This window comes from Homo sapiens, chromosome 3 (assembly GCF_000001405.40).
Source record: "Homo sapiens chromosome 3, GRCh38.p14 Primary Assembly".
Taxonomy (NCBI): Eukaryota; Metazoa; Chordata; class Mammalia; order Primates; family Hominidae; genus Homo; species Homo sapiens.
Window position 1 is genome coordinate 173,248,648 of NC_000003.12, and position 12,969 is coordinate 173,261,616.

A 12,969-nucleotide genomic window follows, 5' to 3' on the forward strand; every position below is an offset into this window, starting at 1 on the left:
CATTTCTCACTGCGCCATAGTTGTGGGGGTCAAGCCACTTTACAAAAAAAAAATCACCCTTATCTGTTTTACGGAACCATAGGCAAGAGATTCTCAATTTTGCAAGATGCTCCCAACAGGCTACATGGGGAACCAAATTAACATTTTCCATCCCAGCCAAAGCAAAATACACATGACAAAACAGACATTAATCACCTCATTCAGCAACCAATATTGACCAGGCAAGGCTCAGGCTTTCTCCTATTGGTCCCTGTTGTCTTTGATCCATTCCAAGTAGGGAGGGATGACCTCCAACCGATAATTCAATGGGTGGTCTCTGGGCAACATGAAGAGTGAATAGTCACCCCAAATCAGCCCTGTTGAGCTTTCCTCAGGACTCACCAAATGTGACCAGAAAAATAAGGAGGATTCTCTGAGTTAGGCCTGCTAGACTTCTGTCAGCAATTCCTTCTGACACACACAAAGACAAGATGGACAGAAAGCCTTCCAAATCAAGATCCCTAACCAAGAACTCCCAAGAGTATCCCTTCCAAACCATCTTCCTATTCTCCATCTAAGAAATCTCTCCAAGATCATCCTGATTGGGGAGAAGTCTCCCAAACCAAGACTCTTCCTACTAATTAGGGAGAGCCAATCAAGACCCCCAAAGGAGTTGAACCAAGACAGAGACCCTGCAGTGGGGCTACAGACAGGCACCCCACCATGGGGCTACAGAAAAACCGAGACCCCTGAAGGAGTCAAACCAATTGGGAGCAGGAAGGAGGCATTGGCAGCACCTGGGATACTCACCAAACTAGACACCTCATAATGGGGCTACACCTACAGACACTCCATGACTGGGATACAGACAGACACCCTATTTTATGACTACAGTTACAGACACCTTGCTATGTAGCTATAGACAGATACCCTATGACAGGGCTAGTTATGGGACATCTCCCCAGGACTCTTTCTCTATTGCAATTAAATTCATGCACATTGGGTTGGCAGCACTGCAGTACCAGAGTCAGCCTCCAGTCCAAGAGAACTATGTGGCCGTTTGGGCTGGCCTCTGTATCCATTGCTGGAGGGGAGCTACTGAACCACAGGCAGGTAGCCACAGGGGCAATCCCAGATAAGCCCCCAGATTTGTAATCTTCCAATGGGTTCACCTTGCCCACTGCCCGGACAGAGCCAGTTTATCAAGACAGAGGAATTGCAATAGAGAAATAGTAACTGCAAAAGAGAAAGAGTAATTCTCTATCTCTCATCTGTGAGGAAGACTTGAGTTTTATTATTACTCAAATCAGTCTCCAAACTGGGTAATTTATAAAGAAAAGAGGTTTAATTGGCTCACAGTTCTGCATGGCTGGGGAGGCCTCTGGAAACTTACAATCATAATGGAAGGTGAAGGAGAAGCAAGTTCCTTCATAAGGCAGCAGGAGAATGAGGGCATACCGGGGCAACTGCCACTTTTAAAACCATGAGATCTCATGAGACGTCCCTCACTATCCCTAGAAGAGGATGGGGAAAACCACCCCTATGATCCAATCACCTCCCACCAGCTCCCTCCCTCAACACATGGGAATTACAATTTGAGATGAGATTTGGGTGGGGACACAGAGGCAAATCATATCACTACCTGACCAATTGACTGCTCCACATCTACTATACATCTATTTCTCTTAATCTATGTCACAAATGTTCATGTCTATATTAAATGTCCCAACCCTGTCCAAAAAGGGAGACAAGTGAACTCTTAGCTAATGGTAAAGTCAAGATCTCTGGATGATGTGTAAATCATCTTAGTCAATTCCAATTTTAGATCCTCCTACTTTTCTATGTGTGGATAATTGATACGTGTATCTATTCTCCAAACACTTAATATAAGATTAATAAAAAAGAACATGATTACTGCAATAAAATTGGGACTAGAAGAAAAAGTATATGGATTATTACAGGGTTATATGATATGTAGTGTTCTTCTAGGAAGGAATCACAATGAATCACTGCCCTGGGGGAGGACTGCGTTACTGGGTCAGCTAGTTTGGGCAGCCCCCAGGTCTATTCTTGGACGAATCTTCCTCATCCATGGTCTTCTATTCCTGCATTTGAGGCAATTATTGAACATGGTCTAAGTAGACAGAGATCATAAACCAGAACTTTTCAACCCATTTTGTAACCTTTCTGATACTTCATCAGGTAGCTCACAAGCCCCTTTCCCTCTATTTGACTCCAAGCTCTTTGAGGGGAGAGACTATGTTTTACTTACCATTTGTCTCCAACATAAAGTACTGCGATGGTTATAAAATTAGCACTTAATAAATGCGGTAAGAATCAATTAGTGAATGGGACTGATAAAGTGATTGACTAACAGAACTAGACAGGCTCCTGGGAAATGACCTGGTCCTTTTCAGAAAAATAATTACCTAAATAAGAATAATAGCAGGCCAAAATAATTATTTATTTTATGCAATACAAAGTTTGTTATGTTTTATTTCACATAGGATTGAATTTTCTTCTGGGATTACTATGTTTATTAAATAGAAAAATCTTGCAGAAGAGTCCAAATCAGATTCCTATATAAAAAATATTGACGATTTTTAACTACCTCTTTGGAAATACATGTACTTTTTATTCCCAAGTCAATCAAACATCTGAAATCATATAAAGATTTAATCACCTACATCTCCATGGGGCTATTGAATTTAGTTGGTGTTTTTGAAATCACCTTTTCCCCCTTGATTGCAATAATTTGCAAAGCAATTGCCTATTTATAAATTCTATTATATACATTGCTTATTTATTTTTTATTCTTTCTACAAAGGCCAGAGCAAACCGAATAAGATAGTTATCTTCTTCATTATTTTAATATCTCTATACCTGAGAGAGGAGGCTGGATGTTGGCAGGAATGGCCTTTGGACAATGGCCAATTTAATCTGGTCCTCTCTGGACTTGTTAACAATTACAAGACCCACTAGGATATCACTAATGTTGTGGAAATATTTGTGTAGTTAATTTCATAATTTTTATTATTTTTTGAGTAATTTGTTGCCTCTGAAACAAACTATTCTAAATGGTGTTTCACAAACTTCAGTTGTTTATGAATTATGTTTATGGTTTTTGCAAAATTCTGAAGACCATCATATCTTTATTTTTTTAAACCCAATTCACATTTTTACTTAAATATTATTTAAGAAATATTTTTCTTATTACCAAAATGTGAAAACATCCTTTTTAAAAATATCTTCTTTCATAAACAGACTGTAATCACAAATTCAATATAAGCAAATAAAAATCATTAAATCATAACTAGGTATTTGTATTAGTACATTCTTGCATTGCTGAAAAGAAATACCTGAGACTGGATAAATTACAAAGAAAAGAACTTTAATTGGCTAATGGTTCTGCAGGTTGTACAGGAAGCACAGCAGCATCTGCTTCTAGGGAGACCTCAGGAAGCAGAAGCAGAATCATAGCAGAAAGGAACAGGGGAGCAGGCACATTACCTGGCAAAAGCAGGAGCAAAGAGTGGGGGACAGTGCCACACAGTTTTATACCAACAGATCTCATGATAACCCACTCACTACTATGAGGACAGCACCAAGGGATGGTGTTAAACCATTCATGAGAAATCCCCCCCCATGATCCAATCACCCCCTACCAAGCCCCCCGTCAAACATTAGGGATTACATTTCAACATGAGATTTGGGTGGGAACACACATCTAAACATATAATTCCATCCCTGGCCCCTCCCGAATCTAATGTTCTTCTCATATTTCAAAATACAATCATGCTTTCCAGTAATCCCCCCAAATCTTAATTCATTCCAGTGTTAACTCAAAAACCCAAAGTCCAGTCTTAGCCAAGACAAGGCAAATTCCTTCTTCCTATGAGCCTGTAAAATAAGAAACAAGTTAGTTACTTCTAAGATACAATGAGAGTACAAACAGGTAAACATTCCCATTCCAAAAGGAAGAAATTGAGCAAAAAAGGGGCTACAGGAACATGCAAGTTCAAAATCCAGCAGAGCAGTCATTAAATCTTAAGGCCCCCAAATAATCTCATTTGACTCCATGTACCACATCCAGGCCACACTGATGCAAGGGGTGGGCTCCCAAGGCCTTGGGCATCTCTGCTTCTGTGGCGTTGCAGGGTTCAATCCCTGCAGCTGCTCTCATGAACTGGCATTGAGTGCCTGCAGCTTTTCCAGGAACAGGGTACAAGCTGCTGGTGGAGCCACCATTCTGGGGTCTTGTGGATGGTGGCCCTCTTTTCACAACTCCACCAGGAAGTAACACACTGGGGACTTTGTGTGGGAGCTCCAACCCCACATTTCCTGTCTCCACACTGCCCTAGTAGAGGTTCTCCATGAGGGTTCTGCCCCTGCAGCAGGCTTCTGCCTGGACATCCAGGCTTTTCTATATATCCTCTGAAATGTAGGCAGAGGCTCCCAAGCCTCAACCCCTGTGTACTCTGTGCACCCACAGACTTAACACCATGAGGAGACCACCAAGGCTTACAGCTTGTACCCTCTGAAGCAGCTGTCCAAGCTGTACATGAGCCTTTTTTTTTTTTTTTTTTATGAGGTGGAGTCTTGCTCTGTCACCCAGGCTGGAGCGCAGTGGTGCGATCTCAGCTCACTGCAAGCTCCACTTCCCAGGTTCACGCCATTCTCCTGCCTCAGCCTCCTGAGTAGGGGACTACATGTGCCCACCGCCATGCCCGGCTAATGTTTTTTGCATTTTTAGTAGAGACAGGGTTTCACCATGTTAGCCAGGATGGTCTCAATCTCCTGACCTTGTGATCCGTCTGCCTCGGCCTCCCAAAGTGCTGGGATTACAGGTGTGAGCCACTGCACCCAGCCACATGAGCCATTTTAAGAAGTGACTAGAGCTAGAGTGACCAGGATATGTGGAGAAGTGTCCTAAGGCTGTGTGGGGCAGCAGATCCCTGGGCCTGGCTCATGAAACCATCCTTTCCTCTTAGGGCCCTGGGTCTGTAATGGGAGGGGCTGCCTTGAAGTTCTCCAAAATGCCCTTGAAGCCTTCCCTGCCTCTCCCATTGTCTTAGCTATCAGCGCTTGGCTTCTTTTTAGTTATGCAAATATCTCTAGCAAGTGGTTGCTCCACAGCCTACTTGAATTCCCCTCCCAAAAAAGCTTTTTCTTTCTCTCCCACATGGTCAGGTTGCAAATTTTCCAAACCTTTATGCTCTGCAACCCTTTTATTTATTTATTTATTTTATCCTTTTTTTAAAAAAATTATTATACTTTAAGTTTTAGGGTACATGTGCACAATGTGCAGGTTAGTTACATATGTATACATGTGCCATGCTGGTGTGCTGCACCCAGTAACTCGTCATTTAGCATTAGGTATATCTCCTAATGCTATCCCTCCCCGCTCCCCCCACCCCACAACAGTCCCCAGAGTGTGATGTTCCCCTTCCTGTGTCCATGTGTTCTCATTGTTCAATTCCCATCTATGAGTGAGAACATGCGGTGTTTGGTTTTTTGTCCTTGTGATAGTTTACTGAGAATGATGATTTCCAATTTCATCCATGTCCCTACAAAGGACATGAACTCATCATTTTTTATGTCTGCATCGTATTCCATGGTGTATATGTGCCACATTTTCTTAATCCAGTCTATCATTGTTGGACATTTGGATTGGTTCCAAGTCTTTGCTATTGTGAATAGTGCCGTAATAAACATACATGTGCATGTGTCTTTATAGCAGCATGATTTATAGTCCTTTGGGTATATACCCAGTAATGGGATGGCTGGGTCAAATGGTATTTCTAGTTCTAGATCCCCGAGGAATCGCCACACTGACTTCCACAATGGTTGAAGTAGTTTACAGTCCCACCAACAGTGTAAAAGTGTTCCTATTTCTCCACATCCTCTCCAGCACCTGTTGTTTCCTGACTTTTTAATGATTGCCATTCTAACTGGTGTGAGATGGTATCTCATTGTGGTTTTGATTTGCATTTCTCTGATGGCAAGTGATGATGAGCATTTTTTCATGTGTCTTTTGGCTGCATAAATGTCTTCTTTTGAGAAGTGTCCGTTCATATCCTTTGCCCACTTTTTGATGGGGTTGTTTGTTTTTTTCTTGTAAATTTGTTTGAGTTCATTGTAGATTCTGGATATTAGCCCTTTGTCAGATGAGTAGGTTGCGAAAATTTTCTCCCATTTTGTAGGTTGCCTGTTCACTCTGATGGTAGTTTCTTTTGCTGTGCAGAAGCTCTTTAGTTGAATTAGATCCCATTTGTCAATTTTGGCTTTTGTTGCCATTGCTTTTGGTGTTTTAGACATGAAGTCCTTGCCCATGCCTATGTCCTGAATAGTAATGTCTAGGTTTTCTTCTAGGGTTTTTATGGTTTTAGGTCTAACGTTTAAGTCTTTAATCCATCTTGAATTAATTTTTGTATAAGGTGTAAGTTCCACCTTTAAGTAATTTATTTGCTCCTGCATATGAGTGTAGGATGTTAGAAGCATCCAGGCCCATCTTGAACACTTTGCTGCTTAGAAATTTCTTCTGCCGGATACCTTAGGTCATCACTCTCAAGTTCAAACTTCCACAGATCCCTAGGGCATGGACACAACGTAGTCAAGTTCTTTTCTAATGCGTAACAAAAGTGACCTTTGCTATAGTTCCCAATACATTCCTCATCTCTATCTGAGACACCGTCAGCATTGCCTTCACTGTCCATATCACTATCAGCATTTGGTCACAACCATTCAACCAGTCTCAAAGAAATTCCAAACTTTCCTAATCTTCTGTGTTTTCTTCTGAGACCTCCAAACTCTTCCAACCTCTGCCCATTACCCAGTTCTAAAGTCACTTCCACATTTTCAGGAATCTTTATAGCGATTCCACAACCCTCAGTACTAATTTTCTGTATTAGTTCATTCTTGCATTGCTAAAATATCTGAGACTGGATAAATTATAACATAAAGAGATTAAATTGGCTCACGGTTTCACAGGCTGTACAGGAAACAGCAGCATCTTCTTCTGGCAAGGCGTCAGGAAGCTTCCAATCGTGGCAGAAGGCAAAGGGGGAGCAGGCACATCACATGACAAAAGGAGGAGCAAGAGAGAGAGTGGGGAGTTGCCACGCACTTTTAAACAACCAGCTCTCACAGTAACTCACTCACTATCATGAGGACAGCATCAGGGGATGATGTTAAACCATTCGTTGAAATCTGCCCCCATGATTCAGTCACCTCCCACCAGGCCCTACCTTCAACATTGTGGATTACATTTCAACATGAGATCAGGGCAGGGAAACACATCCAAACTATGTCAGTATTGTTTACTACTAAAGTATGGGAGCTTGAGATATAATTAAAAAATAAAGATTAGCTCATGTTAGACAGATGTTAAATAATATTTAGTCTTAAATTGAAACTTCCTCTTTGACATCGTTGGGCTTGAAAGAAAAGAAAATAAAGTTCTCACTATCTAAATTCATGTTATTTTTTACTGTGTCCTTTGATATGGTTTGGATCTGTGAACCCACCCAAATCTCATGTTGAATTGCAATCCCTAGTGTTGGAGGTGAGGCCTGGTCAGAGGTGATTGAATCACGGGATGGGTTTCTCATGAATGATTTAGCACCATCCTCTAGGTGATATTTTCAAGATAGTGAGTGAGGGATTGTGAGACCTGGCTGTGTAAAAGTGTGTAGCACCTCCCCCCAGCTCTCTTCCTCCTGTGCTAGTTATGTAAAGTGTCTAACTCCCCCTTTGCCTTCTGCCAGGCTTGAAAGTTTCCTGAGGCCTCCCTGGAAACTGAGCAGATGCTGCCATGCTTTCTGTACAGCCTGCAGAACCATGAACCAATTAAACCTCTTTTCTTTATAAATTACCCAATCTCAGGTATTTCTTTACAGCAATACGAGAATGGACTAATACATCCTGTTATCAAATATCATGTCCAATGTTACCTAAAGCCCTTTCTAATGCCAATATCATTCCTGTTTCCCAATTTTGGGAAATAGCATTCTGAAGAGATATTTTTTGTATACATTGTACACAGTAGAAAATTGTATGTGTATCTATGTATGTATGTATGTGTGTGTATATGCATGCAATGTGTTTGTACTATAGGGATGTAAGACGTCTAAAGCTTATAGCTTGTATAAATGTAAAAATATTCTTACAGAGTTAGACCAACACCCTCAAATGAAATGTTATGTAAACTATATTTTGTATAAATATTTTCCTCAGCTTTCTGACTTAACTGATTGGTTTTTACTGAAATAACTTTATAGTCTCGTATCAGGAATAATAGGATTTTCTCATTTTCTTATTACCAAAAAAACAAAACATAACAAATGCTGGTGGTGGAGAGAAGAAATCTCTTTTACAATGTTAGTGGAAATGTAAATTACTAAAGCCATTGTGGAAAACATTATGTAGTTTTCTTAAAAAATTAAAAATAGAACTATCATACAGTCTAGCAATTTCACTACTATTTGCTTCAAAGGACAGAAAAAATATATATCACAGGGATATATGCACTCCTGTGTTTATTGTAGCACTATTCATAATAGCCAAGATAAGGAATCAACCTAAGTGTCCATTAAATGATGAATGGAGAAACAATATATGATCTATATAATAATGGAGTACTATTCGGACATAAGAATGAAATCTTGTCATTTGCAGTAACATTGATGGAACTGGAGGCCATTATGTTAAATGAAATAAGGAAGGCACAGAAAGACAAATATTGCATATTCTCACTCATAGGTGGGAGCTAAACAATTTTGATCTCATGGAGATAGGGAGTAGAATGATGGTTGCTAGAGGCTAAAAAGGGTAGTGGGGAGCAGGGGATAAAGAGGGGGTGGTTAATGGGCACAAAGATAGAGTTAGATAGAAGGAGCAAGATCCAGTGTTTGGTAGCATAATAGAGAGACTACAGTTACTACCATAATAGAGAGACTACAATAAATTACAATCATTTATTATCTATTTCAAAATAGCTAGAAGAGATTTGAAATGTTCCCAACACAAAGAAATGATAAATGTTCAAGGCGATGAGTATCCTGAATACCCTCATTTAATCATTACGCCCTTTATGCATGTATCAAAATATCAAGTGTTTTTACAAATATATACAATTATTATGTATCAATAAAAAGTGAAAAATAAAAAAGGAAAGATTTGCCCATGTTCAACTGAGACAACAAACTTTAAGTTAATTCCGATTTTTGTTTTATTAACTTCCGCCCCTGGGTCTCTCCTTTATTTCCTTCCTCCCCTTTGACTCAGACCCTAATGTATTCCCCACTCGACAGTCAGAATGATCTTTTATGAAATCAGATAAAAATCTTGGCTCTGCTTTAAAACCTTCCATGAGTTTCCTGTGCAGATCAGAATAATATTTCACATGCATGCCTAGACTTGAAGCTCTTCCATGGTTGGCCTGCTTCTTACCTCCATTGAGTCTCTCTCCTCTAGCTCACAAGTGGAGTCACACTAGCTTCCGTTTTGTTTTTCATACATGCTAGGCTTTTTCCTGTTTTAGGTCTTTTCCACTTACTGTTTTTCTTTTCTCCCTGGAATTCTCTTCCTCTGAGGTTTTACTTAGCTGATTCTTTATCTTCCTTAAGTCTTGAGTTAAATGTCTTTTAGGTTGTCCCTGTATACCCTTTATAAGTGGATCATCCCCTTACGTGGTATTCTCTACCTATTTCCTCCTTATGCTTGGTAGGTTGGAATTATATATGTGTCTCTTGTTTATTTTCTACTTCCCTATAAGAGTCTAAGTTCTATGAGGGCAAGGCTTATGGTTATTTGCATACACTGTCTCAGTATTATCCTTGGTATACAGAAGTACTCAGTAAATATGCATATATATATACACATCTATCTATCTATGTAGATATATAGATATCTACATATGTAGATATAGTAAATGAATCCTCTTCAAAGAGTTGTTTTATTTGTTTCATTGGCTTCCCTGATTATAAACTCACTTTTCAATAGTTTGTTAAGATAGGAGTGTGTGCCACGTTTAGCATTCAGAAAGATTTGAGTAAGCAATTGAATAAACAGCTTCCCCTAGTTTGTAATAATCCTTAAAACATTGTAGTGACTGAGCATAAGGGGCACCATAAGCATCAAAGAGAGATGAATTTGTAGCATCAAAGGCAAGCCAGCAATACTGTTTTAAATCTTCTTCTAATGACCTCCTTATAATTATGAATCCCTAAGAAGAAATTCAGCTGCTTTCTATGTCTGGAAGTCTGCTTAACTATGCTTAATTCTTTTGCTTTGGCTCATCTCCAAACTCTGTAACTTTCTTTGCCTAACTAGAATTGCATTTGGACTTTGGGAGGAAACAGTTATTGTTATGCATTTGTAGGTGTGAGCACCAGCTGCTTGTGGAAATTCCAATTCATTATACATTCGATTTTATAAAAGAATAAGCAAAACTTTGAAAGTATGGCTTTAGTCCTTACAGTTGAAACTCAAGTATATTATTGATTTATTGTGGAAATATTAAACAATTGGCCAAAATTTTGATGTGTCCATTACTTCATTAATAAACTAAATATATTCATTTATTTTTTTTTTTTTTGAAATGGAGTTTTGCTCTTGTTGCCCAGGCTGGAGTTCAGTGGCACAATCTCGGCTCACTGCAACCTCTGCCTCCCAGGTTCAAGTGATTCTCCTGCCTCAGCCTCCCGAGTAGCTTGGATTACAGGCATGCACCACTATGCCAGGCTAATTTTTGTATTTTTAGTAGAGATGGGGTTTCACCATGTTGGTCAGGCTGGTCTCGAATTCCCGATCTCAGGTGATCCGCCTGCCTCAGCCTCCCAAAGTGCTGGGATTACAGGCATGAGCCACTGCACCCGGCCTCATTTATTCTTATCTAGTTTCCACAGGGGCCTTACTTAATATTTCTGAAAACCATCTCCAAATACACATAATGAATATTTTTGTAGAACACATACATACACACTGGGGACTTTTTTCACATTTTGCATTTATAATTGTGGCAGATACTGCCAGCTGACCACTAATAATTTCTTCATCCCTTCCATAGTATGGAGATGTTGCTGGACAATGGCTGCCCCTTCAAGGACTATTATTTCCCAGCCTCTCCCCCTTGCATCCAGGTAGACCCTGTTACCGATGCATGTCTACGTTACCTCTAGGAGACAGGTAAGGTTGCAATATGTAATCCTCAGTGTTCCCTTCCCTCAGGACTGCTGGTTGGGTAACACTGATGCGTCTTTGCTCTAGCCAAACAATGTAATATGGGGTTCCTGAATCACAGCCTGTGAACAAGATGCTCTGGAGAAGGAACATCTGCTTTGAACTTCACATAAATGAGAAATACACTTTCAGTTTGTTATGCAACTGAGATTCTGAGTTTGTCTGTTACAACAGTTGCAATATTTACCCTGATGAATGTAATGTAAATTTATCAAATAAACTCTATAAATATATAAGTGTAACATATCTGCATACATTATTACAGAGCTAGTTCAGCACTCATTTTACACATGAGAAACCTGAAGAAAAAGAGACCTTGAAGAGTTAAGCAAACTCAGATTATAAAATACATTACTTAACAGCTAAACTAATTCTAGTGCTTATTCCATTATAGCAGGAGTGGACACAGTATGGCCCTCAGGCCAAATCAGGTCCACTGCCTATTATTTAGAAAAAATAACGTTTACTGTAACCCAGTCACAATCATTCATTTACATATTGTTTAAGACTGCCTTTTTTGCAACAATAGTAGAGTTAAGTAGCTGCAACAGAGGTCATATGACGAGTAAAGCTTAAAATATTTACTGTCTGACTTTTTACAAAAAAGGTGGCTGACCCATGCATTGTACTGTATGTCCACGGGCTTTCCAGGTTAATTCTGCATACGGGACATAATAAAAAGGTAGGCTCTAATTTTATATTGTAATCACCTGGTGGGTTCTTGCTTGCTGTACAGATAAAACCAATTCACTGAGACTGTGGTATTGCAATAAAGAAAGAGTTAATTAATGGTAGGTTAGACATGCAGAAGAAAAAGTTATTACATCAGTCTCTTGGAAGGCTTGGAGGTTTGGGTTTTTGAAGGATGGTGTGATGAGTAGGGAAGTAGGGAATGGGGACTACTGATTAGTTGGGGATGCAATCACAAGGATGTAGAAAACAGTCCTCATGTGCTGAGTCCACCTCTGGGTGGGGACCACAGATGAACTGAGTCATGAGTCATAGTCTAGATGGGGTCAGTCAACTGCCAGAATGCAAACGTTTGAAAAGCATCTTGAAATATCAATCTTAGGTTCTACAATGGTCATGTTATATATAGGAACAATTGGGGAAGCCACAAATCTTACGATCTTTGGCCACATGTGTCCTGTCAGTTAGGGATTATAGAAACTATGCCTACATTTTAGCAGAGTTCAGGCCCATCCCATAATCCTAATCTCATGGCCTTTTATTAGTTTTCAGTCCTTTAGCAAGAACAGGGGTAGCTTTCGGGGGGATTATTATCATCTTTGCTTCCAGGTTAAACTACAAACTAAATTTCTCCCATGTTTTCCTCGGCCTATGCCCAGAAATGAGCAAAGATGGTCAGCCTGTGAGGCTAGAAGTAAGATGGAACCAGCCATGCTAGATTTCTCTCACTGTCATAATCTTTGCAAAGATAGTTTTAATATCTCTCCTATTTTAGTGGAAACATTGGAAAATCCTTCAATTTTTTTTTCACTTTCTCTACTTTGTGCACTAACCTCCTTCTTAACTAATATTTGGAAACTGATCCAGCTTCCTCTCATGCTTCTGATATTATCTAAGATAGGGTCCTATGAAGCAGAACTTTAAAATGAAATGGTAAAAGGCTAAGGTATGCTTTCCCATCTCTCCTTCATTGCTATCCCAATGCTGAGACTGAGCACATGCCAATTAGTGCATTCCCTTAGACTCTACCCTAAGGCCTCTAATCAAATGCCCAGGAAA

General features: G+C 39.8%; 1 long non-coding RNA gene across 1 annotated transcript in view, besides 1 other annotated feature; it reads left to right on the top strand.

The window, feature by feature from the left end:
• LOC105374224 (uncharacterized) overlaps positions 1–11,902 on the top strand; it is a 53,972-nt gene extending 42,070 nt beyond the window's left edge. The window contains exons 4-5 of the long non-coding RNA XR_007096171.1: positions 11,048–11,166; positions 11,828–11,902. This is a non-coding gene — a long non-coding RNA (uncharacterized LOC105374224). The remainder of the gene's footprint in view (positions 1–11,047; positions 11,167–11,827) is intronic.
• Positions 4,786–5,324: an enhancer, noted in NCBI's record as "OCT4-NANOG hESC enhancer chr3:172971223-172971761 (GRCh37/hg19 assembly coordinates)". NCBI's record gives its function as "activates a minimal SCP1, AML or CMV promoter by ChIP-STARR-seq in primed H9 embryonic stem cells {active_cell/tissue: H9 hESC(primed)}" and the evidence as "EXISTENCE:reporter gene assay evidence [ECO:0000049][PMID:30033119]".
• Positions 11,903–12,969: the final 1,067 nt, after the last annotated feature.